The sequence below is a fragment of the Homo sapiens genome, chromosome 13 (genome assembly GCF_000001405.40).
Source record: "Homo sapiens chromosome 13, GRCh38.p14 Primary Assembly".
NCBI lineage: Eukaryota > Metazoa > Chordata > Mammalia > Primates > Hominidae > Homo > Homo sapiens.
The window spans coordinates 30,538,708-30,565,233 of NC_000013.11; the positions used below are offsets into that span (position 1 = coordinate 30,538,708).

The 26,526-nt window shown below is 42.8% G+C and overlaps 1 protein-coding gene and 3 pseudogenes across 2 annotated transcripts in view; 1 reads left to right on the plus strand and 3 right to left on the minus strand.

Annotated features, from left to right (window-relative positions):
• HMGB1 (high mobility group box 1) overlaps positions 1-26,526 on the minus strand; it is a 160,894-nt gene that overhangs the window by 82,004 nt on the left and 52,364 nt on the right.
• On the minus strand, positions 500-1,880 carry RBM22P2 (RNA binding motif protein 22 pseudogene 2; annotated as a pseudogene).
• On the minus strand, positions 2,736-3,285 carry MFAP1P1 (microfibril associated protein 1 pseudogene 1; annotated as a pseudogene).
• On the plus strand, positions 14,959-16,303 carry PTPN2P2 (PTPN2 pseudogene 2; annotated as a pseudogene).

Here is a 26,526-nt window from a genome sequence, read left to right on the forward strand (position 1 = left end):
TTTCTTTCTTCTTTTTCTTTCTTTTTCTTTCTTTCTTCTTTTTCTTTCTTTCTCTTTCTCTCTCTCTTTCCTTCTTTCTTTTTCTTTCTTCCTTTCTCTCTCTCTCCCCCTTTCTTTCTTTTTTCTTTTTTTCGAAGATGATACAAAGAAAAACACCCCCATGGACATAAAAATGGCCCAAAGGTGTTTTGTTTTGTTTTGTTTTTTGAGATGGAGTCTCGCTCTGTCACCCAGGCTGGAGTGCAACGGCACGATCTCGGCTCACTGCAACCTCCACCTCCCGGGTTCAAGAGATTCTCCTGCCTCAGCCTCCCTAGTAGCTGGGATTACAGGTGCCTGCCACCATGCCCAGCTAATTTTTGTATTTTTAGTAGAGATGCGGTTTCACCATGTTGGCCTGGATGGTCTCCAATTCCTGACCTTAAGTGATCCGCCCGCCTCAGCCTCCCAAAGTGCTGGGATTACAGGCGTAAGCCACTGCGCCCAGCCAGCCCAGAAGTTTTTTACTGAAGATCAATTCTCCCCCTGCCCGCCTCCGCTGAAAAGGTACAAAATGAACATTTTGTTTTGAGATGGCAGCTCCATCAGGCATTCCAATTCACCCAGCCACTTATTCTCACAGAGGTGAGGGGAACAGGCATTAGGTTTTATTAGTCATGTTGTATTTGTAACCAGATGTGGCCTCGGCAGCTTATTTGAAGGCCATTGATCCTTTGAACACGTGTAGAGAAGCATGGCTGTCCTTCACTGACTGTCCATATCTGAGCATATTCAGCTACCATGGAAACTACGAAGGAAGGAAAAATATATTTACTCCAAAATTCATTTACTGGGAGTTTTAAGTGCCCTTTCTTCCACAGAGCCCCAGAGTAGTGCTAATGTGCTGGGGGCAGCTGTATTTTCCAGCATGAGCTCCCATCCTCTGAGGGTCCTGAAAAGGATTGGTCCTGGAGTCTTCATGAAAGGAATGAGGTGGAACATGTGTAGCCCCAAACCTGATAGTACGGGGAGTGGTGGGGGTGGCAGGGCAATGTTCACCACAGTGGTGGAGGATCACTTAGGGGTAGGCTGAAGTAGCTGCTGCAACAGGAGGAAGAGCTCATGGCAGTCCTGGAAAAGGCTCTAACTTGATCCCAGAGTATGTGGTTCCGTCCTTCTTTTTCTTTTCCTCTGGCTGCTTGAGATCTTCTTGATTTCACGTTGAGTCTGTGGCGATTGCAATCAACTTATTAAAGGACTTCTCAGCAGCCATGTCTGTAGCCTGCCTTGTGGAAAACTGGGTGAAAGCACCCTGCTGCTTCTGCATTAGAGTGATGGTCAATCTCTCCTAACTGGTAGAAATGATTTCTCTGATCTGTTTCACCCAGACCATCCACGTCTAATGTGGTGAGAGTCTTGTCCTCTGGTGGGTCCAGATGAGGCATGGTTGAAGTCTGCTTTAGAAGCTTATCAGCTATAGGGTCATTGATTCCATAATATGAGTCTTCAACATTTTGATCAGCAAGGGGATCATCCAGATCTGTAGGCTTCTTCTGTCTGTAGGGACGCTCCTCTTTTCTCTGACACTCTCCTTTCACCTAGCAGGAGCAAATGTGAGGCTGATTCCTTTGATAGTAGGGTATGGTCCAGGCCAGTTTGAGCAGCACGACACTGGGGGATGTGTCTTTCCCCAGCATGCTAATTAGACGTGTTCCATCAGAGTTACAGATCTCTCTCCATATTCTGTGTGTAGAACCCTCGGTTGACATCTGACTTTGGCACATTACTTTCAAAAGACAATGCTGTGTCATGAACCTGGATGTGCTGGCCACACTCTACGTCTAAGAGGCAGGTCTGACATTCTCCAATTTACTGCAAATTTGGCACACTTTAGTCTTTTTTTTTTTTTTTTTTGAGATGGAGTTTTCGCTCTTGTTGCCCAAGCTGGAGTGCAATGGCGCGATCTTGGCTCATCACAACCTCTGCCTCCCGGGTTCAAGCAGTTCTCCTGCCTCAGCCTCCTGAGTAGCTGGGATTACAGGCACCTGCCACCACGCCCGGCTAATTTTGTATTTTTAGTAGAGACAGGGTTTCTCCATGTTGGTCAGGCTGGTCTCGAACTCCCGACCTCAGGTGATCCGCCTGCCTCAGCCTCCCAAAGTGCTGGGATTACAGGCGTGAGCCACTGTGCCTGGCCTAGTCTTCTTTAAAAAAGCATGTGGACCCCAGGGCACCAGTGAAACACTGGGAATGGCCTGGCACAGAGACTGCATTCCTTCTTGTATGTTTTTTTCTCTTTTGGGTGTGTGTGTGTGTGTGTTTCTTTTATTTCTTGATACAAACACATAAATGGATCAAAAAATATGTTCATCTAGAAAACTGGACGTCATCCAAAAATGAAAAACAAGTTTCAATGAATTTAGATTTCCTAGCATTTTACTCCTAACCCTAAGGGTTAAATTTATTGTCCACTTACATGCCCATGTTTCTGACCCAAGCTAAGGGGCTGGAAAACGAAACTCAGAGCTAGTGTGTGGTGGCACATGCCTGTAATCCCAGTTACTTGGGAGGCTGAGGCAGGAGGATCACTTGAGCCCAGGAGTTCAAATCCAACATGGGCAACGTAGCGAGACTCCATCTCTAAAATTAAAAATCAGAACAATCTCATGTAAATATGGGAAGTCTTAGCATTGATAAAACCTAAGATTTCCTGGAAGTAAGTGGGAAGCCTCTAATCCTACCTGGATAGTGCTTTTCTGGGGGATTTTTCAGCACAAGTCTAAATCTCACAAAGCACCTTCAAAAACTGGGCTACGCAGTATCACAGGCATGGCAGTAGGTCCAAAGGCTGGATTCAGGGGCCATGTAAATAACAGGAAAAGCAAATCAAGGACCAGATGCTGAGATTTCCCCTTGAGTTCCACATTTGGGAGAACAAGGAGTTGACCCCTAAGTAGTCTTCTGCTTCTTGGTAAATGGTTGCTCAGCTACATCTTGTGCTTCAGCTACCTTTTGTTTGAAGAACTTTGTGTTCTGGGTACTCTCTTGGCCCCGTGTTGGGTAGAAGGAAGTGGTATCTCAATGCCCACCATGGGTGTATTTGGTATAACCAGAGTGCCCAAAGTTCTTGCATGACTTTAGGAAGCATGGCTTTGTTGAAATGATCCTCCAGGGTGGGGGCACTGAAATCTCTTTTGTATATTTCTCATATTTGCCCTGAATGGCTTTGCTGGTAATGACCTTGCCATATGCCTGAAGCTCAGCTTGCTGCTCTTCCTCAGCCAGCTTCCGCAGGTGCTCAATTTCTGCTTCCTCCTTCTCAAGCTCTTCTTCCTCGTCTCTGCTCCCTTGTTTGTTTTAGCTTCTGAACTTTCCATGCCTCCTGCTCCTCCTGACTCTCCTCTTGGTGTTGAGCGCATCCAGAGTAGTGCGGCCCCGCCTGCTCTCCGCAGGCTCTTCCATGGTCTCCTACAGTCTGGAGGGGGCACCATGCCTCCTCAGGGTGCCTTTTGCCTCCTGCTCCAGCTCCTTCTGGTTCAATGCTTCAGCCTCAGGTTCTCGAACTGTCACTCAGCCCTTCTTCCTTCCCAGTGAGGGCCTGCATCAGGCGAGGCTCCGTCTCATCCTCACTGTCTGTGGACTCTCCATACTCAGATCTGCTCTGAGCTCCCCAGGGCGCCCCTCCTCACCGCCTCCCCTGCCACCCCTGTGCCTCCCACACTCCTGTCTCCTCTCCTGTACTCCCTGACACAGGGTGCTGCACTGCCACCCCATCTCCTCATCCTCGGTTTCTTCCTCTTCTTCTTCACTGACATCCGCTCATTCCGGGCGCTAGGCACCTGCTTCTCTTCTGAAGCTGCCTGCTTCTATCACTCCAGGCTCCACTGTTTTCCAATGCCGGCCAATCTCTCTTCCTCTCGTCACTCACCTGGTCCTGAAAATGCCACAGCCTGGCTGGCTGGCTGAGCCCTCCTCCTGTTCCTCAGGCTCTGCTTCCTGTTCCTTGGATTTCCCAATGAATGAAAATTCCTCATCCGCCTCATCAGAGGACTCCACAGGGGCACAGTCTGGCCTTCTTCTGGACACACAACGTTGGACCTTGGACCTTCACTTTCTCTGTGGAAGTCTCCCATTTCTCACTGTGATGCAGGACGGCCCCAGTGCAGAGTCAATGAGCGACTGCTTCATGAGTGCCCTTGGGACTGACAAGTTGATGGGTGGCGACTCCCAAAACTGAAAGATTCCAAACTGAACACCTACAATGTCAATGGACAGAAAAATTCCTTTCCGCCAAGGTGCACAGGGCACTGCTACATAGCTGATCCCTTCCCGTGCTTGACTTTAATCATTCAGCTATGTGGGTTTTCTCCAAAGCACATTTGGCACAGATGGGAAGTCCACACACATCCTCCAGGCTCTGCCTGTTCCAGGTTTTTTTTTTTTTTTTTTTTTTTTTTTAAGACAGAGGCTCACTCTGTTGCCCAGGCTAGAGTGCAGTGGCGCGATCTCAGCTCACTGCAACCTCCGCCTCCCAGGTTCAAGCGATTTTCATGCCTCAGCCTCCAGAGTAGCTGGGATTACAGGTGTGCACCACCACGCCTGGCTAATTTTTGTATTTTTAGTAGAGATAGGGTTTCACCATGTTGGCCAGGCTGGTCTCAAACTCCCAACCTCAGTTGATCTGCCCATCTCAGCCTCCCAAAGTGCTGGGATGGACAGGTGTGAGCCACTGCACCCGGCCTGTTCCAGGTGTTAAAACCCAGAGAGGTCACCATCTTGAGAGCGTCTGAGGTGGGAAGTGGGACTCTCCGAGTCCTGGTGTCTTCCCCTGTAAAGGAGGAGAACTTACATGTCACCCACCTGATCAAATCAGGCCCATCCAGGAGAGTACTCCTGTTGATTAATTTAAGGACTTGGAACTTCACATCAACCAAATCCCTTCAGGGCAGCACCTGAACTAGCTTTGTTTGGATACCAGGGAGAGGGTGTGTCTGATTTCAACTAGGGCAGGGATGCTAAAAGATTCTGGGCCCTGAAGCCCCAACTGCAAAATAAGTCTGTCAAGGTCTCTAAAAATGTACACCCATGATTTCTGATTTATTTCCCTACCTTATTGAGAGTTTACAGTCAAACAGGAATGCCCAAAACTCCAGCCTCTATAAAACGAACTGAAATTAGCAGTTTTTCCTTCAATCTGGAATCAAAATAATTCAGGCATAAAGGGTCTTTCCCATGGACAACAGCAATAGCATCCTTAAAGCAACTCTGCTTATATTGTCCTTGGTATTGAGATCAAACCTCCATTCAGAGCTTTACTGGTCTGAGATTTTCTTTCTGGGGATGGGCATCTGGAATGGTTGCACTCAACTCTCAGCTAGATGTGTCTGCACCCACACCTGCAGGTGACTGCCATGTGGGCAGGTTACCCACCCTGGCAGGTCCTAGCGATGTCTCTCTGCCTGGGATTGAACATGCAAGTCAGAGGTTCTGAACCAACCACTCCTCACCTCAGAATGTCCACTTCTGCCCCAAAAGTGAGATAGTGGGAGCCTTCCAGTGATCCACTGGCCTTCATCTCTGTTTCCTAGCCACAGTTCCTCAAGCCCTAGGAACGGCCAGACCAATAAGGGTATCTTGCTTTGCTAATGAGATGACTAATGGCTGGGGACCCCTAAGTAGCTTCAGGATGGAGGCTGGCACCAGAAAGAACAAGGCAAGATTGGAGAGTTAGAATTTCAGTCTCACTCCCCCAACCTCCGGGGAGGGAAGAGGGGCGGAAGGTTGAGTTGATCAGCAATAGGCAATGATGTAGTCCATCATGCCTATGTAATGACGCTTCCATAAAACCCTCAAAGGACTGGGTTCGCAGAGCTTCCAGACAGCTGAAAACGTGGAGGTTCCTGGAACGTGGTGCCCCTGAAAAGGGCATGGAAGCTCTGCACCCTTCCCCCACACCTGGCCCTATGCATCTTTCCCATCTGTTCCTCTGTATCCACTATAATAAATAGGTCAACATAAGTAAAATGTTTTCCTGAGCTCTGTAAGCTGCTCTGTCAAATCAATCGAACCTGAGGAGAAGGAGGTGGGAACGCCTGATTTGTAGCTGGTGGGTCAGAAGAATAGGTAATCACTTAAAGATTTACCTCCATTTTTATTCCTGAGCTTTCTCTGCAACTGCAGGGCCCAATCCAGGACAGGCAGAGAACTGGCGCTTACTGTGCTCTGTTGGAATTCAGGTAAGTCAGGAGGCGCCTCGATGTAGAAACGTGTTCCTCTGCACTCCTGGCCTCCAATCTTTTATATAGCCTCTGATCTTGTTTTAGGTTGCAATATCTTCTCTCTTAAAAAAACTATTTTTTTTCTTATGTTCCCTGTCATGTCTTGTTTCAGTTCTTTTTCTTCTGTTTGCATTGATTTCCATTTCAGCTGGGCAGCTTTCCCCACATGCATGGTGATCCTTGGCTACCTAGTCGGATTTGAGAGCGAGGCATTTAAAATGCTGATGGATGTGAGGCTGAGGATGGAGGATTGCTTGAGCCAGGAGTTCAAGGTCAGCCTGGGCAATACAGTGAGACCCTATCTCAAAACAAAACGACAATAACAAATGCTAACTCTGTGTGAGGGTGTTGTCACTGGGTGATGAATTAGAGTGCCGGCTGCTCTATTGAGAATAACTGAATATTATTATTATTAATATATTAATAATATTAATATTATTCTGTTATTCATATAAATCTGGCAGCATAGTTTTGTCAGAAAGGAATCCTCCAACCTGGGCCCCATGTAATAGAAGAGGTTGACAGATCTCAGCAGTCACTTGAAGAATTCTACTCACTTCCTGTTTTTCTGCAAAAGAATCCATCCCATTCTCAGCAGTGCCCAGTATTCCTGAGTCTAGAGCTTCGCTGTCCAATATGTCAGCCACTAGCCATATGTGGCTATTTAAATCAAAATTAAAACTAAACTTCATTTCCTCAGTCACACTGGCCATATTTCATGTATTTTTGTTTGTTTGTGGGTTTTTCTTGAGACAAGGTCTTACTCTGTATCCCAGGCTGGAGTGCAGTGGTGCAATCATGGATCACTGTAGCCTCAACCTCCTGGGCTCAAGAGATCCTCCTGCCTCAGCTTCAACTTCCTGAGTAGCTAGGACTGCAAGTGTGTGCCACCATGCCCAGCAAATTTTTGTGTTTTTTATAGAAACGGGTTTTCAACATGTTGCCCAAGCTGGTCTTGAACTCCTGGGCTCAAGCGAACCACCCACCTCGGCCTCCCAAAGTGTTGGGATGACAGGTATGAGCCACCACGTGCAGCCACACTGGCTACATTTCAGGTGGCTATTGAGCCACTAGTTGTTGGACAATGCAGATATAAAGCACTTCCATCATCACGGAAAGTTCTATGGCACACTGCTGGAGACTAAACCTCACGTTTTGTTTGTTTGTTTTGAGACGGAGTCTTGCTCTGTTGCCAGGCTGGAGTTCAGTAGCGTGATCTCAGCCCACTGTAATCTCTGCCTCCCGGGTTCAAGCAATTCCCCTGCCTCAGCCTCCCGAGTAGCTGGGACTACAGGTGTGCATCGCCACGCCTGGCTAATTTTTTGTATTTTAGTAGAGACGGGGTTTCACCATGTTGGCCAGGATGGTGTTGGTCTCCTGACCTCGTGATCTGCCTGCCTTGGCCTCCCAAAATGCTGGGATTACAGGCGTGAGCCACTGAGCCCGGCCAACCTCACGTTTTATACTTGGGGAGAAGTGGTTTCCTAACTACACTGTTGAGGAGGGAATCTGGAAGTGTGATTTTCCTCTTTTTTTAGAGACTGGGTCTTGCTCTGTTGTCCAAGCTATAGTTCAGTGGAACAATTAAAGCTCACTGCTGCCTTAACCTACTGGGCTCAAGTGGTGCTCCCAGTTCAGCCTTCTGAGTAACTGGAACTACAGGCGGGTGCCACCATGCCCAGCTAATTTTTGTATTTCTTCTTAGAGATGGGGTCTTGCTATGTTGTCCAGACTTGTCTTGAACTCCTGGCCTCAACTGATCCTCCTACCTCAGCCTTTCAAAGTGCTGGGATTACAGGCATAAGCCACCATGCCCAGTCCAGTTTAATTATTCTTTATACAATATTTCATTAATTATTGAATTTTCAATCCTACCGTGAATCCACCTTTAGGGGTACCTGAAGGCTCCCCTTTCTTGAAACTTGACTCTTAACTAACCCCCTACAACACACACATTTGTAGGTGTAGGTTTCATGCTGTTAATTACCACTGGTCCATGTGTCTCCCATCTTTCAAAACATTCTTTATCCCTATCCTACTCCTTCAGCATTACTGATGGGTTTTCAGCAAGGAGCAGAGATAATGTGTGTGGCCCATGCCAAGCCTGAAGTCCTCCTGAGATGTTATTCACATAACTCATGACAAAGGCAATGGGGAAAAAGTGTTCTGCTGCTTAGCTTTGTCAGGTTTTGTCCAAGGTTTGCTTAGTTACAGTTTTAAGAAAATTTTATCATCTCTGATTTCTTTATATTCCATTGTTTTATTCTTTTCCCAAATATTATTTGAGAACTTACTACAGGTAAGGCACTGCTCCAGTTTTAAGTTTTCTCACTTTACCCTCCCATTTCATAAAAAATATTGTTGCTAAACATTTTCAGTGAAAGTTTAATAATTATGTATGTTGGCAAAACCTCATGAACAAAACACAGGGCAAGCTTATTTTCAACTGACTCAAGATTGGTTTCCTCTACCCACAGCCTTAAGCCGAGTCAAGAGCTGAGCCCATTCCATAGATGCTAAACCTCAGCCAACCTTAACCTGTGAATATGAGAACAGATACGTGTTGATACAAACCACTGAGTTTGGGGTGGTTTGCTATAGAGCATTATGTTGTCTGTCTAACACCATGGGAAAAGAGTCCTTACAAACAGGACTTTAGATTTTTTTTTTTTTTAATACAAAGATATGGCTAGGCACAGTGGCTCACTTTGGGAGGCCAAGGCTGGTGGATCACTTGAAGTCAGGAGTTTGAGACCAGCCTGGCCAATGTGGTGAAACCCCGTCTCTACTAAAAATACAAAAATCAGCCAGGCGTGGTGGCACACACTTGTGATCCCAGCTGCTTGGGAGGCTGAAGCAGGGAGGATTGCTTGAACCCGGGAGGCAGAGGCTGCAGTGAGCCAAGATTGTGCCACTGGAGTCCAGCCTGAGCAACAGAGTGAGTGAGACTCTGTCTCAAAAAAAGATATGGGTTAGTCAATATGTTTAGGAGAAAATAAAAGTTATCATTCTACAACATAAAATGCTATTTTATTGCTTGTTGCATTTTATCTAATGGTGTTTTTCTAAGAAAATTTGCAATAGGAATACCACTGTTTCAGGTTTTAAAATGATCATAAGCACCTGATAGAGTTTGGCTGTGTCCTCACCCAAATCTCATCTTGAATTGTAGTTCCCATAATCCCCACGTGTTGTGGGAGGGACCAGTGGGAGGTAATTGAATCATGGGGGTGGTTACCCTCATGCTGTTCTTGTGATACTGAGTGAATTCTCATGAGATCTGACGGTTTTATAAGGGGCTTTCCTGCTTTTGCTCGGCACTTCTCCTTCCTGTCGCCATGTAAAGAAAGACCTTTTTGGTTCCCCTTCCACCACGATTGTAAGTTTCCTGAGGCCTCCCCAGCCATGCTGAACTGTGAGTCAATTAAACTTCTTTCCTTTATAAATTACCCAGTCTTGGGTATATCTTTATTAACAGCACGAGAATGGACTAATACAGCACCTGACTAGGAAACTAATATTTTCCTTTCATTTGAAAAGGATATTTCATTAGCGAACAGTGTCTATTACACAAGTTACATCAAGATCTGTGTGCCTCTTTCCAAAAGATAAATTACAAGCATTGTTACAAAATAAAAGAGTATGCGGTTTGCAAAATTCTTATGATGGGAGCCCTTCTCTGCCCAGAATTATGCTTGCTTGCCTCTTAATGCTTCCACTAATTATGATGAGATGTCACTCAGAACCTACAGTTTCTGCCTTGGGGGACGTATAAGAATGTCAGAACACCTCTCCATGGTATCAGGTGCCTGCAGAGCTTTGCTGTGGGTTATGGACCAACTCCTCAGTATCTGTTCCTAAGACCAAATGAACCACGCTATCTTGGAAGTGCTGGTCTTGGACAGTAAAGGACATTGTGCAGACAGCTGGAAGCGGTCCCTATTAACATTGTCCCTGATAGTGAATAAAGGGACGGTGTGAGTTCCTTTGGGCTGCTTTCTTTCTTGATGTACTGAAACTTTAGTTTCAATGGAATCAAAAGAATCAGAGACGCTGGGTGCAATGGCTCACACCTGTAATCTCAACACTTTGGGAGGCCAAGTAGGAGGAACTCTTGTGCCCAGGAGTTCAACACCAGCCTGGGCAACAGAGTGAGACCCCATCTCTACAAAAAATAAGAAAAATAGCTGGTCATGCTGGTATACACCTGTGGTCCCAGCTACTCAGGTGCTCGCTTGGGTCCAGGAGGTCAAGGGTGCAGTGAGCCGTAATTGAGCCACTGAACTCCAGCCTAGGTGACAGAGTGAGATGCTGTCTGAATAAATAAATAAATACGAATGTCTGACCAGATTGGGGCAGCATCTCTGTATTTGACAGATTCTAAAACAACAACTTAGTAATAAACTCTATCACTCTTACAGTAATAGTGATAGTGTTCAGAGTAATAAACAGATTCTCACGCTGTTGCCCAGGCTGAGAGCAGTACACAATCACAGCTCACTGCAGCTCTTGGGCTCAAGTGGTCCTCCTGCATCAGCCTCCTGAGTAGCTGGGACTACAGGTGCAGGCCACCATGTCTGAGTAATTTTTGTACTTTTTGTGTGTGTGTGTGTAGGGACAGGGCTTCACTATGTTGCCCGGGCTAGTCTTGAACTCCTGGCCTCAACAGACCCTCCTGCTTCGGCCTCCCAAAGTACTGGGATTACGGGCATGAGCCACTGTGCCTGGCACAAACACTAATTGTTTGTTTTTTTTTTTTTGAGATGGAGTCTTGCTCCATCTCAGCCTGCACGCCAGGCTGGAATGCAGTGGCATGATCTCGACTCACTGCAACCTCCGCCTCTCGGGTTCAAGCAATTCTCCTGCCTCAGCTTCCCGAGTACCTGGGATTGCAGGCGCCCGCCATCACGCCTGGCTAATTTTTGTATTTTTAGTAGAGACGGGGTTTTGCCATGTTGGCCAGGCTGGTCTGGAACTCCTGACCCCAAGTAATCCGCCTGCCTCAGCCTCCCAAAGTGCTGGGGTTACAGGCATGAGCCACCACACCTGGCCACAAACACTATTTTTTAAAGCATGTGATGTTAGATTCTTTTATAAATTAATATTCAAACTCACTAGAAAGACTCTGGAATATGTGTATGTGTGTGTACTAGTTTTTAAAATCCTATATTTTCCTTAACATTAAATTGAAACTCATTACAAAACAAAGGTTAATACTAGTGCTGTCATGACTATCAGGAGCTATGACATCCTTTTAGGAAGTCATGTATGTTCATTTGTCCATTTGTTCATTCATGTATGTAAAAGTTACAGAACACTGACATTGTGCTAGGGACCAATCTAAACACTGGGAACACAAAGGTGGGTGGCTTTCAAGGGGCTATCTAAAGTCCAAAGAGGAAAGCAGACAACGAGAAGCTATTACCAGTGTGAGCAGTGCTAACGACTGAATGGAATGAGAGTACATATCCTCCCTGACATGGTGGGGAGGGATGTCAAAGGAAGGCTCTTAGACATAGAATCTAAATCGAGTCCTCGTGTTTGTCGTACTTCCTTAATGTAGGGATTCTCTCTGTGTAACTACCTATCATTCATTTGCCTCTTTGCTCAGTTCACTACCCACCAGAGGAACTGCTCCCATGCCGAGGGACCCTCGGATGACACACTCGGGCCACCTCCTCTTTTGCCTGTGTGTCTGCAATATCTAGGTGAGCTTGGCTTTGGTACCATATCTGTTCTGTCATTCCTGCTCCAAAACATAAGACTCACTCCCAAGAGGAAATTTTTGCATTTGAAAATTCAAGTTGTATGAAATATAAATGTTTCCTACTTTGTACGTTCTTTAAATTCATGTGTCATATATTACATTTACTAAGAAGTAGAAATACATGTACTTTCTAAACTGAGAAAACTAGCTGGTGGAAGACAAAACTGATTCTAAACACATCTGATAGATTCTAAAAAGTGAAGGTACTTTAAGTGGCACTACCCTGGCACATGTTCACTTTAGATTGCCAGGTAAACCAGCCCAACAGGTGTTAGGAGACAGATGTTCACCAAATGCTTAGCCCTCAGGGAGAAAACATTAAAATATACAACATATTTCCCCCGAGTATCAGCAACTGAAGAAAGCATTTTACCATCTACTATCATGATTTCTAAACACAGTTTAAAAAATTTTATCGAATACCTACTATAATGCAAGCAGTACTAGTTATGGTGATAAAAGATAAATAAACCCCTGATGTATAAACTAAGCACCTTAATTCATTATTTCATGGTTAAATACATTCTAAAACTAATTTTTTTCCTCCGCAAGTCTTCCTTCTCTTTGGGGTTTAAAAGGCTCATCACTGAACTGAACCAAGTCCATCTTAGGAACTCACTGAGTATAGGGGATTGCCAAGTCCTGTTGACTCTTCTGCCCTCTGCAGTTTCAAAGCTGTCTTCACTTTATCTTGGCACCATTTTCCGGTAGGCCTATAGAACCTGTAACCTTAAATACCATAACATAAAAACTAAACTTCTTGCCACAGTTTTGGCCTTTTCTAATCCATTCTCATTAAACTGCTGCTAAAGTGACCATTTAAACACAAAAGATGCATGAAATTATTCAATGTCACCCAGGCCTCTAGGATGCAGCCCAACACTCTAGCACAGATCACTCCCTTTTCTTGTCTCATTTTTGTTGCTTCTCTATCATGAGCATTTATGTCCCATGGTGTCCCACTAACCACTGCAATTTATTTACTTTTCTTAGAGACAGGGTCTTGCTCTGTTGCCCAGGCTGGAGTGCAGTGGTGCGATCATAGTTCATTGCAGCCTCAAACTCCTGGGCTTAAGCAATCCTCCCACGTCAGCCTCCTGAGTAGCTGGGACCACAGCCATGTGCCACCATGCCTGGCTATTTAATATTGTATTTTCTGTAGAGACGGGGTCTTGCTCTGTTGCCCAGACTGGTCTCAAACGATCCTCCTGCCTTGGCCTCCAAAGTGCTGGGATTCCAGGTGTGAGCCACTGCACCTGGCCAATCGCTGCAATTTTAAAAATGCCCCAAGCGTCCTCAGGTATTGGTGTCCCTCTCACAAGCCCATCCCAGACTGCTCCTCCCCAACCCCTGCCCATGGCCCTCAATTAATTTTCTCCTCTCCTTTTTTTATTTCAGAAAATTTAAAAAAGTTGTAAGATTAGTGCAATAAACACACACATATCCTTTAGTTATATTCACCAGTTATTAACATTTTGCTACATTTGTGTTCACTTGCTTTTCCCCATCCCCAAATATTTACTTTGCTGAATCATTTGAGAGTAAGTTGCAGACATTATGACACTTTACTCTTAAATTTTTCAGCAAGTATCTCCTAAAAATAGGACACTCTCTTACATAACCACAAGGATCATACTTAGGAAATTTAATATTGAAATACTAAAATTTAATTTGAATATAGAGTTGATGCTCATATTTCTCCTCAGTTGGCTGACTTCTATTTATCTTTCAAGACTAAGCTCTAGGAAAATGACCTCCCTTCTCCCCACACCCCCTCTCTGTCCACACACAGAATACACTGGGTATCTCTCTTCGATACTTTTACTACCTTTTTGTATACTTCTATTGAAGCACTTAGCACACACTATCATATTGTCTATTTTCTTTTCTGTCGTATCTGAGACTCAGCTAGACCCATTTTAATTCTTCTATCACTTCATATACTACCCAGCATTCGTTGGTGACTGAATGGATAAATGAATGAATGAATGCATGATGAGACATTGAAGATTCTCATTCCACTCTCTCATTGTAACTGGTCATGTGTCTCTAAACATTCTGAGCAATATATCACGTGTTCTCAATTTCACCTCTTATTTCAAACACTGCTATGGTACCCAGGTCTCTGTGGGCTTCTTCTACCTTGTGCGGATGCAACCTCACAGCACCTGCTTTTGGCCTCTGCCCCTAGTTTCTGGCCCCAGGGCTACATTGGAGCTGTGACACAGGAGTCCCATGGGAACCACTTGGCACTCAGATATGGACAATCTGGAAATGCAGGACAGTTAAGGCCTGTAAGCTTGCCCTGACCACTGAGGGACAGGAGCTCATAGAAAAAATGCTTGTCTCATTTTTAGCCCAGGGTGGCCAATTCTGAGATGCATGTTAAAAGGTTCCTCAGAAGCTCCCACAGGATCAAGTAGCAGATATTCATAATGGTTGCCAATTTGAAAGGGACCCTTGGGTTGGCTTTCTCTCCTTCCGGGGGGTCATTCTTCTGTCTTATCACAGTCTATTCCTTGGTGTCACATTCCCAAATAAACTCCCTACCTACCTCCAAGTTGTTTGTACAGGCTTTGCTTTCGGGAGAGCCCAGACTAAGACAATGTGGTAACGTAAAAGACTGGTGGCTTGGGAGCCAGACAGACCTGACTTTGAAACCAAGTTTGCTCATTCACTAGCCATGACCTTGGGCACATAATTTAACTTCTCTCAGCCTCACTCTCTTCACTTTATAATGAAGATAATACTTTATAGGAGTATGGTAATGACTTCATAGGGGTATGGTAATTAGAAATTTACCAAATATATATATGAATAGAATATATACAACTTCCTTGAGTAATGATTGACTATAATAAACCACATTGAGTGTCTGTCCAGCTTAGGAGCCAACCTCACTCTTCCATTTCTCTTAAGATTCACTATTTGTCCCAGCCATGCCCACCATCATTGAGCGGGAGTTCAAGGAGTTGGATGCTCAGCATCGCTGGCAGCTGCCGTACTTGGAAATTCGAAATGAGTCCCATGACTATCTTCATAGAGTGGCCAAGTTTCCAGAAAACAGAAATCGAAATAGATACAGAGATGTAAGCCCATATGATCACAGTCGTGTTAAACTGCAGAATACTGAGAATGATTATATTAATGCCAGCTTAGTTGACATAGAAGAGGCACGAAGGAGTTACATCTTAACACCGGGTCCACTTCCTAACATGTGCTGCCATTTCTGGCTTACGGTTTGGCAGCAGAAGACCAAAGCAGTTGTTGTGCTGAACCGCATTGTGGAGAAAGAATCGGTTAAATGTGCGCAGTACTGGCCAACAGATGACCAAAAGATGCTGTTTAAAGAAACGGGATTCAATGTGAAGCTCTTTCAGAAGATGTGAAGTCATATTACACAGTACATCTACTACGATTAGAAAATATCAATAGTGGTGAAACCAGAACAATATCTCACTTGCATTATACGACCTGGCCAGATTTTGGAGTCCCTGAATCACCAGCTTCATTTCTCAATTTCTTGTTGAAAGTGAGAGAATCTGGCTCCTTGAACCCTGACCATGGGCCTGCAGTGATCCATTGTAGCGAAGGCACTGGGTGCACGGGCACCTTCTCTCTGGTAGACGCTTGTCTTGTTTTGATGGGAAAAGGAGATTATATTAACATTAAACAAGTGTTATTGAACATGAGAAAATACTGAATGGGTCTTATTCAGACCCCAGATCAACTGAGATTCTCATACATGGCTATAATAGAAGGAGCAAAATGTATAAAGGTAGATTCTAGTATACAGAAACGGTGGAAAGAATTTTCTAAGGAAAACTTAGCTCCTGCTTTTGATCATTCACCGAACAAAATAATGACTGAAAAATACAATGGGAACAGAATTGGTCTAGAAGAAGAAAAACTGACAGGTGACCGATGTACAGTAAATGCAAGATACAATGGAAGAGAACAGTGAGAATGCTCTACGGAAACATATTCTAGAGGACAGAAAGGCCACCACAGCTCAGAAGGTGCAGCAGATGAAACAGAGGCTAAATGAGAACGAACAAAAAAGAAAAAGGCCAAGATAGACACCTAATATTCATGACTTGAGAATATTCTGGAGCTATAAATTTTGAACCACTGATGTGCAAAACAAGACCTGAAGCCCACTCCAGAAACTAAAGTGAGGCTTGCTAACCTTCTAGATTGCCTCACAGTTGTTTGTTTACAAAGTAAACTTTACATACAGGGTATGAGGAGCACCCACCAGCAGAAGACTTTGCAGAACCTTACATTGGATGTGTCGTTGTGTTTTTTTTTTTTTTTTTTTTTTTTTGAGACGGAGTCTCTGCTCTGTTGCCCAGGCTGGAGTACAGTGGCGCGATCTCGGCTCACTGCAAGCTCCGCCTCCTGGGTTCACGCCATTCTCCTGCCTCAGCCTCCGGAGTAGCTGGGAATACAGGCGCCCGCCACCAAGCCTGGCTAATTTTTTGTATTTTTAGTAGAGATGGGGTTTCACCGTGTTCGCCAGGATGGTCTCGATCTCCTGACCTCGTGATCCGCCCGCCTCGGCCTCCCAAAATGCTGGGATTACAGGCGTGAGCCACCGCATTGGCCTGTTAAGTGTTTTTAATGGGTGTATGAAACGTAGAAATATGTAAAAGAAATAAATTAGGAGAGATTAATTTGTGTTGTACTGCCATTCCTACTGTATTTTTATACTTTTTGGCAGCATTAAATATTTTTGTTAAAGAGTCAAAAAAATTTACTACTTGTCCCATCAGTTTCCTGGGATGGGTTCATGTACTCACAATTTTACTAGATTTTGTGACTATTAGCAACCACAATTCTAGCTACTGCATTGACTATTACACTAATATACAGAATAAACAATGCCTATAATTATTTTTAAAAAGAATCATCCTAAATTTACAAAAAGACAAACCGCATTTCCATAATATATTGTCTAAATTTCAGGAAGAAATTCTCAACCTTTGAATGACAGATTTAAGAAAACTAGTTTAGATATCAATATCTCATTGGAATATGTTGTTTTGTTTATACCTCAGGTTTTCAAAGCTTTGGGACCTCAAAAGTAGTCCTTATTTAAAAACTGCTACTCGTAACCATAGTCTCCATCGTCAAAAAGGAATGTATAAGGATTATTATGCTTGAAATATTAATCTGTATGGGTCTTACAAGATACTCCAGGTTGCTTATATGCTTAGTGGGAAATGAGAATTATTCAAAAGAAAAATTCTATTTTCCCAATGGGAGAAGTGTCCAAAAGTTTCAAAGATGTCAGAAAAATCAGCTTTTGGAAGCTGCTGCCACAATTGTCAATAAGCAGGAGATACCAGTATGTCTTCAAAGAGAGAATTCATTGAAACAAGTCATTGAGGCTGGGCGTGGTGGCTCACGCCTGTAATCCCAACACTTTGGGAGGCCAAGATGGGCAGATCACCTGAGACTGGGAGTTTGAGACCAGCCTGACCAACACAGTGAAACCTTGTCTCTACTAAAAACACAAAAATTAGCCAGGTGTGGTGGTGAGCAACTGTAATCCCAGCTACTCGAGAGCTGAGGCAGGAGAATTGCTTGAGCCCGAGAGGTGGAGGTTGCAGTGAGCCGAGATCCTGCCACTGCACTCTAGCCTGGGCAACAAGAGAGAAACTCTGTTTCAAAAAAGAAAACAAAACAAGTCATTGATAGTATAACGAAGAGATATCTGCATCCCATGTCTACTGCAGCACTATTCTCAATAGCCAAGATATGGAGTCAACCTAGGTGTCCAACAACAGATGAATGAATGAAGAAAATGTGATATATACACACTATGGAGTATTATTCAGCCATAAAAAAGAGTGAAATCCCATCGTTGATGGAATATAGATGAAACTGGAGGACATTATTTTAAGTGAAAAAAGCCAGGAACAGAAAGTTAAACAGTGCATGTTCTCACTCATATGCGAAAGCTAAAAAAAGTTGATCTCATAGAAGTAAAAAGTAGGACAGAGGATACTAGAGGCTGGGACGAGAGTGACAGAGAGATTTGTTAAAAGATACAAAATTATAGCGAGATAAGAGAAATAAGTTCTAGTGTTCGACAGCACTGTAGAATGACTATAGTTAATAATAATACAATATATAGTTTCAAATAGCTGGAAGGATATTGCACATTCTCAACATAAAGAAATGATAAACATATGAGATGGTGGATGTGCGAATTACCCTGATCTGATAACTATAAATTATATGTATGGAAATATAATTATGTGCTCTCAAGAATATGTACAATTGGTATTTGTCAATTTAAAAAATAAATCTAAAAACTGTATCATTGAATCCTTAAGATGCTAAAGTTCATTTACTTATATAACAAATTAAAAAATTATTTCTTATGCTGTTTTTCAAAAATCATAGCTTTTATGACTTTACATAAATATATCTAAAATAATAATTGTATGATATGTTTTTGTAGTCTAATAAAATTTGCACTGAATTCCAATTTTTTAAGGGTATCTTTTTCCATGTTTTCATCTTTATTTTTATATGGGAAGTTCTAACTGAAATAAGGTGCTCCTCAGTTCTAGGAGTTAACCCTAAAAGTAATCAATGTGATCCTCCTCAACGCGAGTTCCAGAGCTAAAAAGAATGCCTAGTCTATGTTCCTTTGCGTTTTTGTTTTATTTTATTTAAATGTCTGTCTACCTGGTCCCCTTGATTAGGGAGCAAGCCTCCAAGGGTCAAAACCATGTTTCATGTCTCTGCGGCCCAGTGCCTAGCACAGAGCTCTGTCCATATCTGCACTCCAATAAATGTTGACCTAAGACTCTTACACTTACAGATTCACCTTGTAGATAAAAGGGCTTTGGAAGTCATCTAACCCATTCCCTTAACTCTCTATCCTACTTCACCAACAACCAGCTTTTGCAAGACACTTCCAGGGGAAGAGTCTATGCCGAGACAAATGATTTCATTAACCATCACAAAGCTAATTGTTACCTGATTCTTAAACTTGGTCCAACCTTGCCTCTTTTTAGTCTTTGACTGAATAGCTCTAGTTCTCACCTAAAGAGTTATATGAAATACAGTTCCAGAAAGAGAAGCGGATGTTAAGAAGAGAGCGAGACAGGGCACAGAATAGACTTGAACCTCATGTCTATCAATTCGGTATGTGTTCATGTGGTTTCTGACTCTAGAACAGTTATGCCAGTGTCCCTGAGGTTCCTGTGCTTGGCTCCCTCCTTTTTTCACATGTCTGGCATCTCTTGTGTATGCCTGAGAAGGATCCATGCTAAAATTGTAATGACATATATACCTAAATTAGCAGCATACAACTTCCAAAAACCGAGCCTATGCAAGAGCTATTAAAAAAAAAAGGATAATGAAGAGAACAGGATTTGAGTTGCTGCTTCTTGTGTTTCCCTTGGAGCCTTCCCAGGCAAATATGGATCAGAAAGCTTTTCTTGTCAATTCTAATTTGTGGTAGTCTAGAAACTTAACCCTTGCTACTTTGATCGCCTGATTTCATCTTTCAATGGAAAGGTAAAAATGATAAAATAAAACAATATTCTAGATACACTGTTCTCTGTAATTTGATGCAATTCAGTTTATATTCACTTGGCAAAAGTGAACAGTGCTGAATTTTAAGAACTAGTGTCTATATCTTACATCTCATTCTTAGCCAAAAGTGTGGAGTTTAAAACCATTTGCTCACCAAGACCTCAGCAGAAAATTTTTTAAAAAAATAACTGAAATGAAAACATAAGTCATGTAAAAAAAGATTTTTTTTTTAAGATGAAAAAATGTTCAACCTTGCTGGCTTTAGAGAAATAGGCATTAAAATGTCCGGGCTTTTAGCAATAATCCTAGTTGTTAGTGAAACACCAAGTCTGTCTCTAACAGCCATGGGCTATGAAACCTTCCTTTTTCCAAAAAGACATTCTGACAGATAGAATCAAGCCATTCAAGTGTCCCCCAGATACTGCAAATGTTGATCCTCAAAACCCCAGGAGCTTTCTTTCCTTATTCCCCTAGAGCAATAGTTTTCAAGTGTGATCCTGAACTTGTTAGAAATGCAAATTCTTGGGCCCCACCCCAGACCCACTGAATCAGAAACTCTGGGAGTAGGGCCGAGAAATGAGTTTTTCACAAGCCTCCAAGGGATTCTGATGCACGGTAAAATTTGAGGACCACCAATGCAGATGGATTATAATCTTCTTGAGGGCAAGGACCAAACTTGTTGAAGGTTAACCCTGGCTCGTGACTCACAGTAGGTGTTCAGAATGTGTTGAATGAATAAATGATCTGTACACTTTTCCAGAAAGCTCTGAATCTATAGTTACTTTTAATTTTTAAAAATATCTTTTGAGGACTTCTCTAGAAATAGGTGAGTCTGTTTCTTACATTGCCAAATGTACCTGGGGTGGGGGGTGCGGGTGGAGGAAAAATTGCCCCTGTTGAGAAGCACTGCCTTAGATCATTCCTTACCAAGGTACGTTAGGCACTGGCCTCACTCCAAGGCCAGTGCTTCCTGTGCTTCTAGAGTGGCTAGGGAAGCACACTATGGGACAACCTTTCCTCACCATTGACAATGGTCATTTACAAGACCATGGCTTATTTTACAGGGTGAACTCCCAATCCCGGTAAGATGGCCCGAGTTTCATTGCTGGTTTACTAGTTTTGCTTCCTTGGGCAGTGAATTTAAATAACCTGTCAAAAGAATGAAGTGATGGAAGCCAGACTCAAACCAACTGTGTACTCTGTCCACACCTCTTCAGCAATATGGCATATTGCAAAGTAGTGTTCAGAGATGTGCGTGTAGTAGGCTGCCTGCTCTAACACATGAGATTAAATTTAGATAGCCACATAGGGAAATCAGTTTTTAAGAAAGCGGATGGAATTCAGCTGCAAATAGATGGACACCTGGAATTCTGGGAAGTTCTAGCTGCTGCTGCTCAACTAAGGCATAACTGAACTCAAGATTTACAAAAATGTATTTCAGCCCAAGTCTCTCCATAACTACTAACAAGGGACTGAGGAGAAGAATTTATATTAAAAGGATAAAAATATCTACACTTGGAAACAGCAGATTGTGAAAGGGTATGTGACTGACAATTATTAAACAATTAAGAGTATGACTAAGATGAATATGCATTCATTCACCAAAATCTCATATTCCCAAAAAGCAGGAAAGGTAGTACAGTGAGATGGATGATGCCTTCACATGACTCAGATGTCACGTGTTTCTCACCATTGAGACCCCCAAGGCACCCCCTCCCAGCATTTACCAGAATGTGTGTGTAACTATTTACAGTGATTTGTGTAATTATTTGATTGTTTCTCTTGTATCCTGTAGCAATGAGGGTAGAGATTATATCCCACCTACCACTGCAGCTCCAGGATCCAGCTTCACAAACATTTGTTGAATGAATGAATAAGAAAAGAGGACACCCCCAAAGAGGCTGCAAGGGAAAAAGCTACAAAGACAGAAGCACCAGGAAAAAGTAGGGTCATGTAAGTCAAAGCAGGAAAAAAGTTCCATGGTGGGGTGGTCAGCAGTGTCTAATGCCACGAAGGCACAAAGTAGGATAAAGGTTAAAAATCAGCCTTTGGTTTTGGCAAATATGAAGCTTATCGGTAGCCTTAGCGAGAACAATTCCATCAGGGAGCAGAAGCTAACTGCAGTGGGTTGAGTCATCAAGCAGGCATAAGGAAGTAGGGATACCCCATTATAAGCTACTCTTTCAAGAAGCTCAAATCTGAAGGTTAGGAGAATTAGGTCAGTAGCTAGAAGGAAATGTGGAGTCGAGGGGCTGTTTTTCCTCCCAAGGAGTATAAAGGTGTAACGTTGCATGAAACCACTTCAGACAAAGGCCGATATCAATAGAGAAGTTAAAACGCACGCCTCAAGATTTGGGAAGGCTTGGGGTTGGGCTTAAAGAGGTAGGAGCATATTTCCTATCCTAGGACAGAGAATAAAGAAGAAAGGATAGGTTCCCATGGAGATAAATTTCTAAGTGTTAAAGAAGAGGCTCAGAAAATTCTAGCATGATAGGCTCACTTTTTTCTTTTTCCATGAAGGAGATGGCAAAGTCAACTGACATGAGAAAGGTGACAATACTGATGGGTTGAAGAGCGATGGACATTTGAAATAACTTCTTAGACCAGTAGAGGCTGGAGTTCATAAATCAGAACTGGCTACAGGTTATATATGTTTTTTTTTTTTTCTCCAACAGCATAAGATAACAGAGCGAAGTCTGTAGAAATGAAAGAAGAGTCAGATGAGGATAGCTGGAGCTAGTGCAAGGAGGGAAGCACCACGGTGGGAGCCAGGTACCCCCTGGATTTATAATTCATACTGAATTCCAACAACAGAAGGGCTCTAAGCAGGAGAGTGACAGATTTCAGAAGACTGAGACACATTTGGTAAAAAAAAGTAGGAGGAAAACCTGATTCTGGAATTAGGGCAGCCAATAGACGGCAGTATTTTCAGAAAGGAGGGAATGGTCAACAGTGACTTTCTAGTCTGGAGCTCAGGAGGAAGAGGCAACTCTACCTGATGGTATTAAGATCATGGAGGTAGCTGAGATCACCTAGCTTGTGTGTGTCAAATGAGAAAAGAAGAAAGAATAGGAGAAGTTCCCCAGGAACACAGACATTAAGTGGGGCTGTGGTGACAACACAAGAAGAGAGGCTTGCAAAGGAGCCTGAGCAGCTGTCATGAGAGAGGTAGGATGGTGGACTCGGAGAAGAGGCAGAAGATGTTCTTAAAGGAAGGACACTGCTGCCAAGTAGTCAGCCAATTGGTGACAAAGAAAGACCCTGTTGCGAGAAAAAAAGTCAGTGAAGTAGTAGGAACGATGACAGATGACACTGGGTTGAAGACTGAGGAGAGAGAAGTGTAAGAGTGGAAGCAGAGGGCAGACCACTCTTCTGAGACACTGAAGAGGCATAGTTAGAAATAAAGGGGAGTCGCCAGAAAGGAATTTGTGGCTAAGCAAGAGGTTTTCTTTAAGACTGAAATACATAAGCATGATTTAAATGCTGCTGGGATGGAGTTCACAGACCTGGAAGACAGAAGACAAAGCGGATCATCAAGATAGTGGAATTTACTGAAATGAGAGAGGAAAATCCCATCCACAGGAAATGCAGACATGAGGGAGGGGCCAGAAGGACAGTGAAAACATCAGCAACTGGTCCCCCAACTTCTGAGTGAATGTGGAGATATAATCAGGTAAAGGACTGCATCATCTCCCTGGTTAATGATGGAGTCAGAGAAAAGAGTGTCTTATACAGAAGTTGTGATATACTTGGCCGGGCGCAGTGGCTCACGCCTGTAATCTAAGCACTTTGGGAGGCCAAGGCAGGCGGATCACCTGAGGTCAGGAGTTCATGACTGGCCTGGTCAACATGGCAAAATCCCACCTCTACTAAAAACAAAAGCCTGTAATCCCAGCTACTAGGGAGGCTGAGGCAGGAGAATCGCTTGAACCCAGGAGGCAGAGGTTGCAGTGAGCCAAGGTCGCACCACTGTACTCCAGCCTGGGCAACAGAGCTAGACTCAGTCTCAAAAAAAAAAAAAAAAGATGTATTTATTCTCACTGTATAAATTTCTGTGTAAGAAATACTCTCTCATATAGAAGTAAATTTATATATAAAATTATATAGAACCACTATAAAATACTCAGGTTTATAAAATTTATATATAAACTTGTTGACATATAAAATTCCATGTAAATGACTATAAAGTACTCTTATATGAAAAGTATATGAATTAAATTATATATCAACTTACTTTTATATTACAGTATTTTTGTTATACAGAAGTTTATATAGTGACAATAAATATTTCTCAAGAACGATTTCACATAATAGAAGTATAAATTATCCATTTCCAATAGTGAAAAAGAAAAGCAGTTCCACACCAGTGACAGGGCTACGAATCTAAGAGGTACAAAGACTTCATTCTTAGAGACACTGAGGTCAGGGCATGGCCAACACATCTGAAGCTGATAGAATTGGCGCTGGGTTGGTTGGAGACGGTACGGTATTACTATTACAATGGCAGACGCTTGGCCTTGATAACTAGCCAATCAGGGGGAAAGATTCTGGTTTCCTCTGTTATTATCTGAACTAGTGTGTTCCCAAAGGGTTAAGATGGTTTATGGAAGGCACAAGATCAGCAAACCATAAAGGATTAGCACTAAGAAGGAAGGAAGTAGACCAAGTGTTAATGGCGATGCCATGTAAGAGCCAGGTCTGCGATGTATGTTCTACATGGTTTGGGGGGTAAAAAAAATGTCAGCCTCCAGAGCACAGGGCTTTAAGCCTCAAGTACTGTTAACAGTAGAGTTTACTAGTCTACAGCAGGAATTACAACCAGTAATTCTAAGGCCAATTACTCAGGCAAGTTTTACTAGAACAAGGAAGCTCTGCTTCGAGGTCAAATCGATTTCTGCATTTATAGAAGCATCTAGATGTTCTCTGTTCAAACAATGGGGTAAAATCCCCACACATTTTATTTCTGACAGAGTGTTCCCTATATTGCCTGGCCAGGAGTGATAACATTGCTTGGCTATTATTAATAAAACATTGCTGTGGCTGGGCGCAGTGGCTCACACCTGTAATCCTGGCACTTTGGGAGGCTGAGGCAGGAGGATCACTTAACTCCAGGAGTTTGACAGCAGCCTGGGCAACATAGCAAGATCCCATCTCTCTAAAAAATTTTAAAATTAGCTGGGTGTGGTGGCAGACACCTGTAGTCCCAGCTCCTCAGGAAGCTGAGGTGGGAGGATCACTTGAGCCCAAGCAGGTTGAGGCTGCAGCGTGCTGTGACTGTGCCACTGCACTCCAGCCTGCGCAACACACTGAGAGAGACTCTGTCTCAAAAAAATACATCAAATAAAAATTAAAAGCCCATTTCTTTCTTTTGGTACATTACAGCCATGCACTTCAAAGGCTAGCACAATTATTTTTCTGCAGTTCTATATTTAGATTCTAGTTAGAAGTAACCTAGGACCTTCATGTTAGAGGTGTCTTTGGCAAAACTGTTATGTGAGTGAAACGTTTAATCAATTGAGGATAAAGATGCCTCATTGCTAATGAAGATGTGGTTTAAGGATTTTATGCACCCAGTTCATTTATTAACAACTTGTTTAAGCTTTATTAGCTGGGTCTCTACTTTATAACTGTGTTCTTTAATTTACAAGACAATAAAAATTAAAATGGTAAATGGGAAACCTATCTTGCTTTTCAATAAATAATTTATTTTAATAACTTCGTGGGCATGGTGGCCAAAACATTTTAGCTGTGAAAATAATTTCAATTCATATTTTTTTGGAATCAATATTAAAAGGTGATATATTCTCAAATGAAAAGTGGACAAATGATCAGTTATAGGACATGATTAAGAAACTAACCATGAGCCACGTGCAGTGGCTCATGCCTGTAATCCCAGCACTCTGGGAGGCCGCGGTGAGCGGATTGCTTGAGCCCAGGAGTTCAAGACCAGGCTGGGCAACATGGCAAAAACCCGGCTCTACTAAAAATGCAAAAAAAAAAAAAAAAAAAAAAATTTAGCTGGGTTTTGGTGGCTTATGCCTGCAGTCCCAGCTACTCGGGAGGCTGACTCGGGAGGCTGAGGCACAAGAATCATTTGAACCCAGGAGGCAGAGGTTGCAATGAGCTGAGAATACACCACTGCACTCCAGCCTGGGCAACAGAGAGAGAGAGACTCAGTCTCAAAAAACAAACAAACAAACAAACAAACCGCTGCCCTGTGCTTGGAGAGATCTGTTTACCTTTACCACTAAAGACTGTTGGAAGTAAATTTTAGAAGGTTTATAATACCTAAAAGTAATCACTTCTGTCTTATGAAAGGTTCTGCTGAGATTTTTCTATTGTGGCCACTAGTGGCAATATTCCAGAAGTCATATTTAAAGAATATCTTTAGTGGATTCAGCAGTTTTTCAAATATGTACTTTTATCTCTCCAACATTCATGATTGCAATTTTTCAAATTAACCTCATGATATAAACAACTGTACTCTATGATGCCTCATAGTACAGAAACTGGAGGCAGAAAGAGAAGTTGAATGTCTAAGAATCGGTAATTCTAAAACTCAACATAGACCATTCAGCATTAGTGGTTCTAACAATCCCACTGCAAAATGAGTTGATAATGTGTAACACTTTAGTGAACTAAAGCATAAAGAACCATGGTCTCCTAATGCAGCAAATTAAAACACATGATAGCTACAATTAATGAAGTACATAGTCCTGGCTGGGCACTATGGTACGTCCTTTACATAGATTATCTCTTAAATTATTAACCCCGTTTTAGAGATGAGAACATTCGGGCTCAGGAAGGTTATGTAAGTTATATAAAAATCACAAAATAAGAGACAGAGCTAAGATTTGAATCCAAGTGTGACCAGGTTCATATCAAGCTTCCATTTTTGAATTTATATTAGAGGTCAATAACTCACCTTTGTCCTTTTAAAATAAT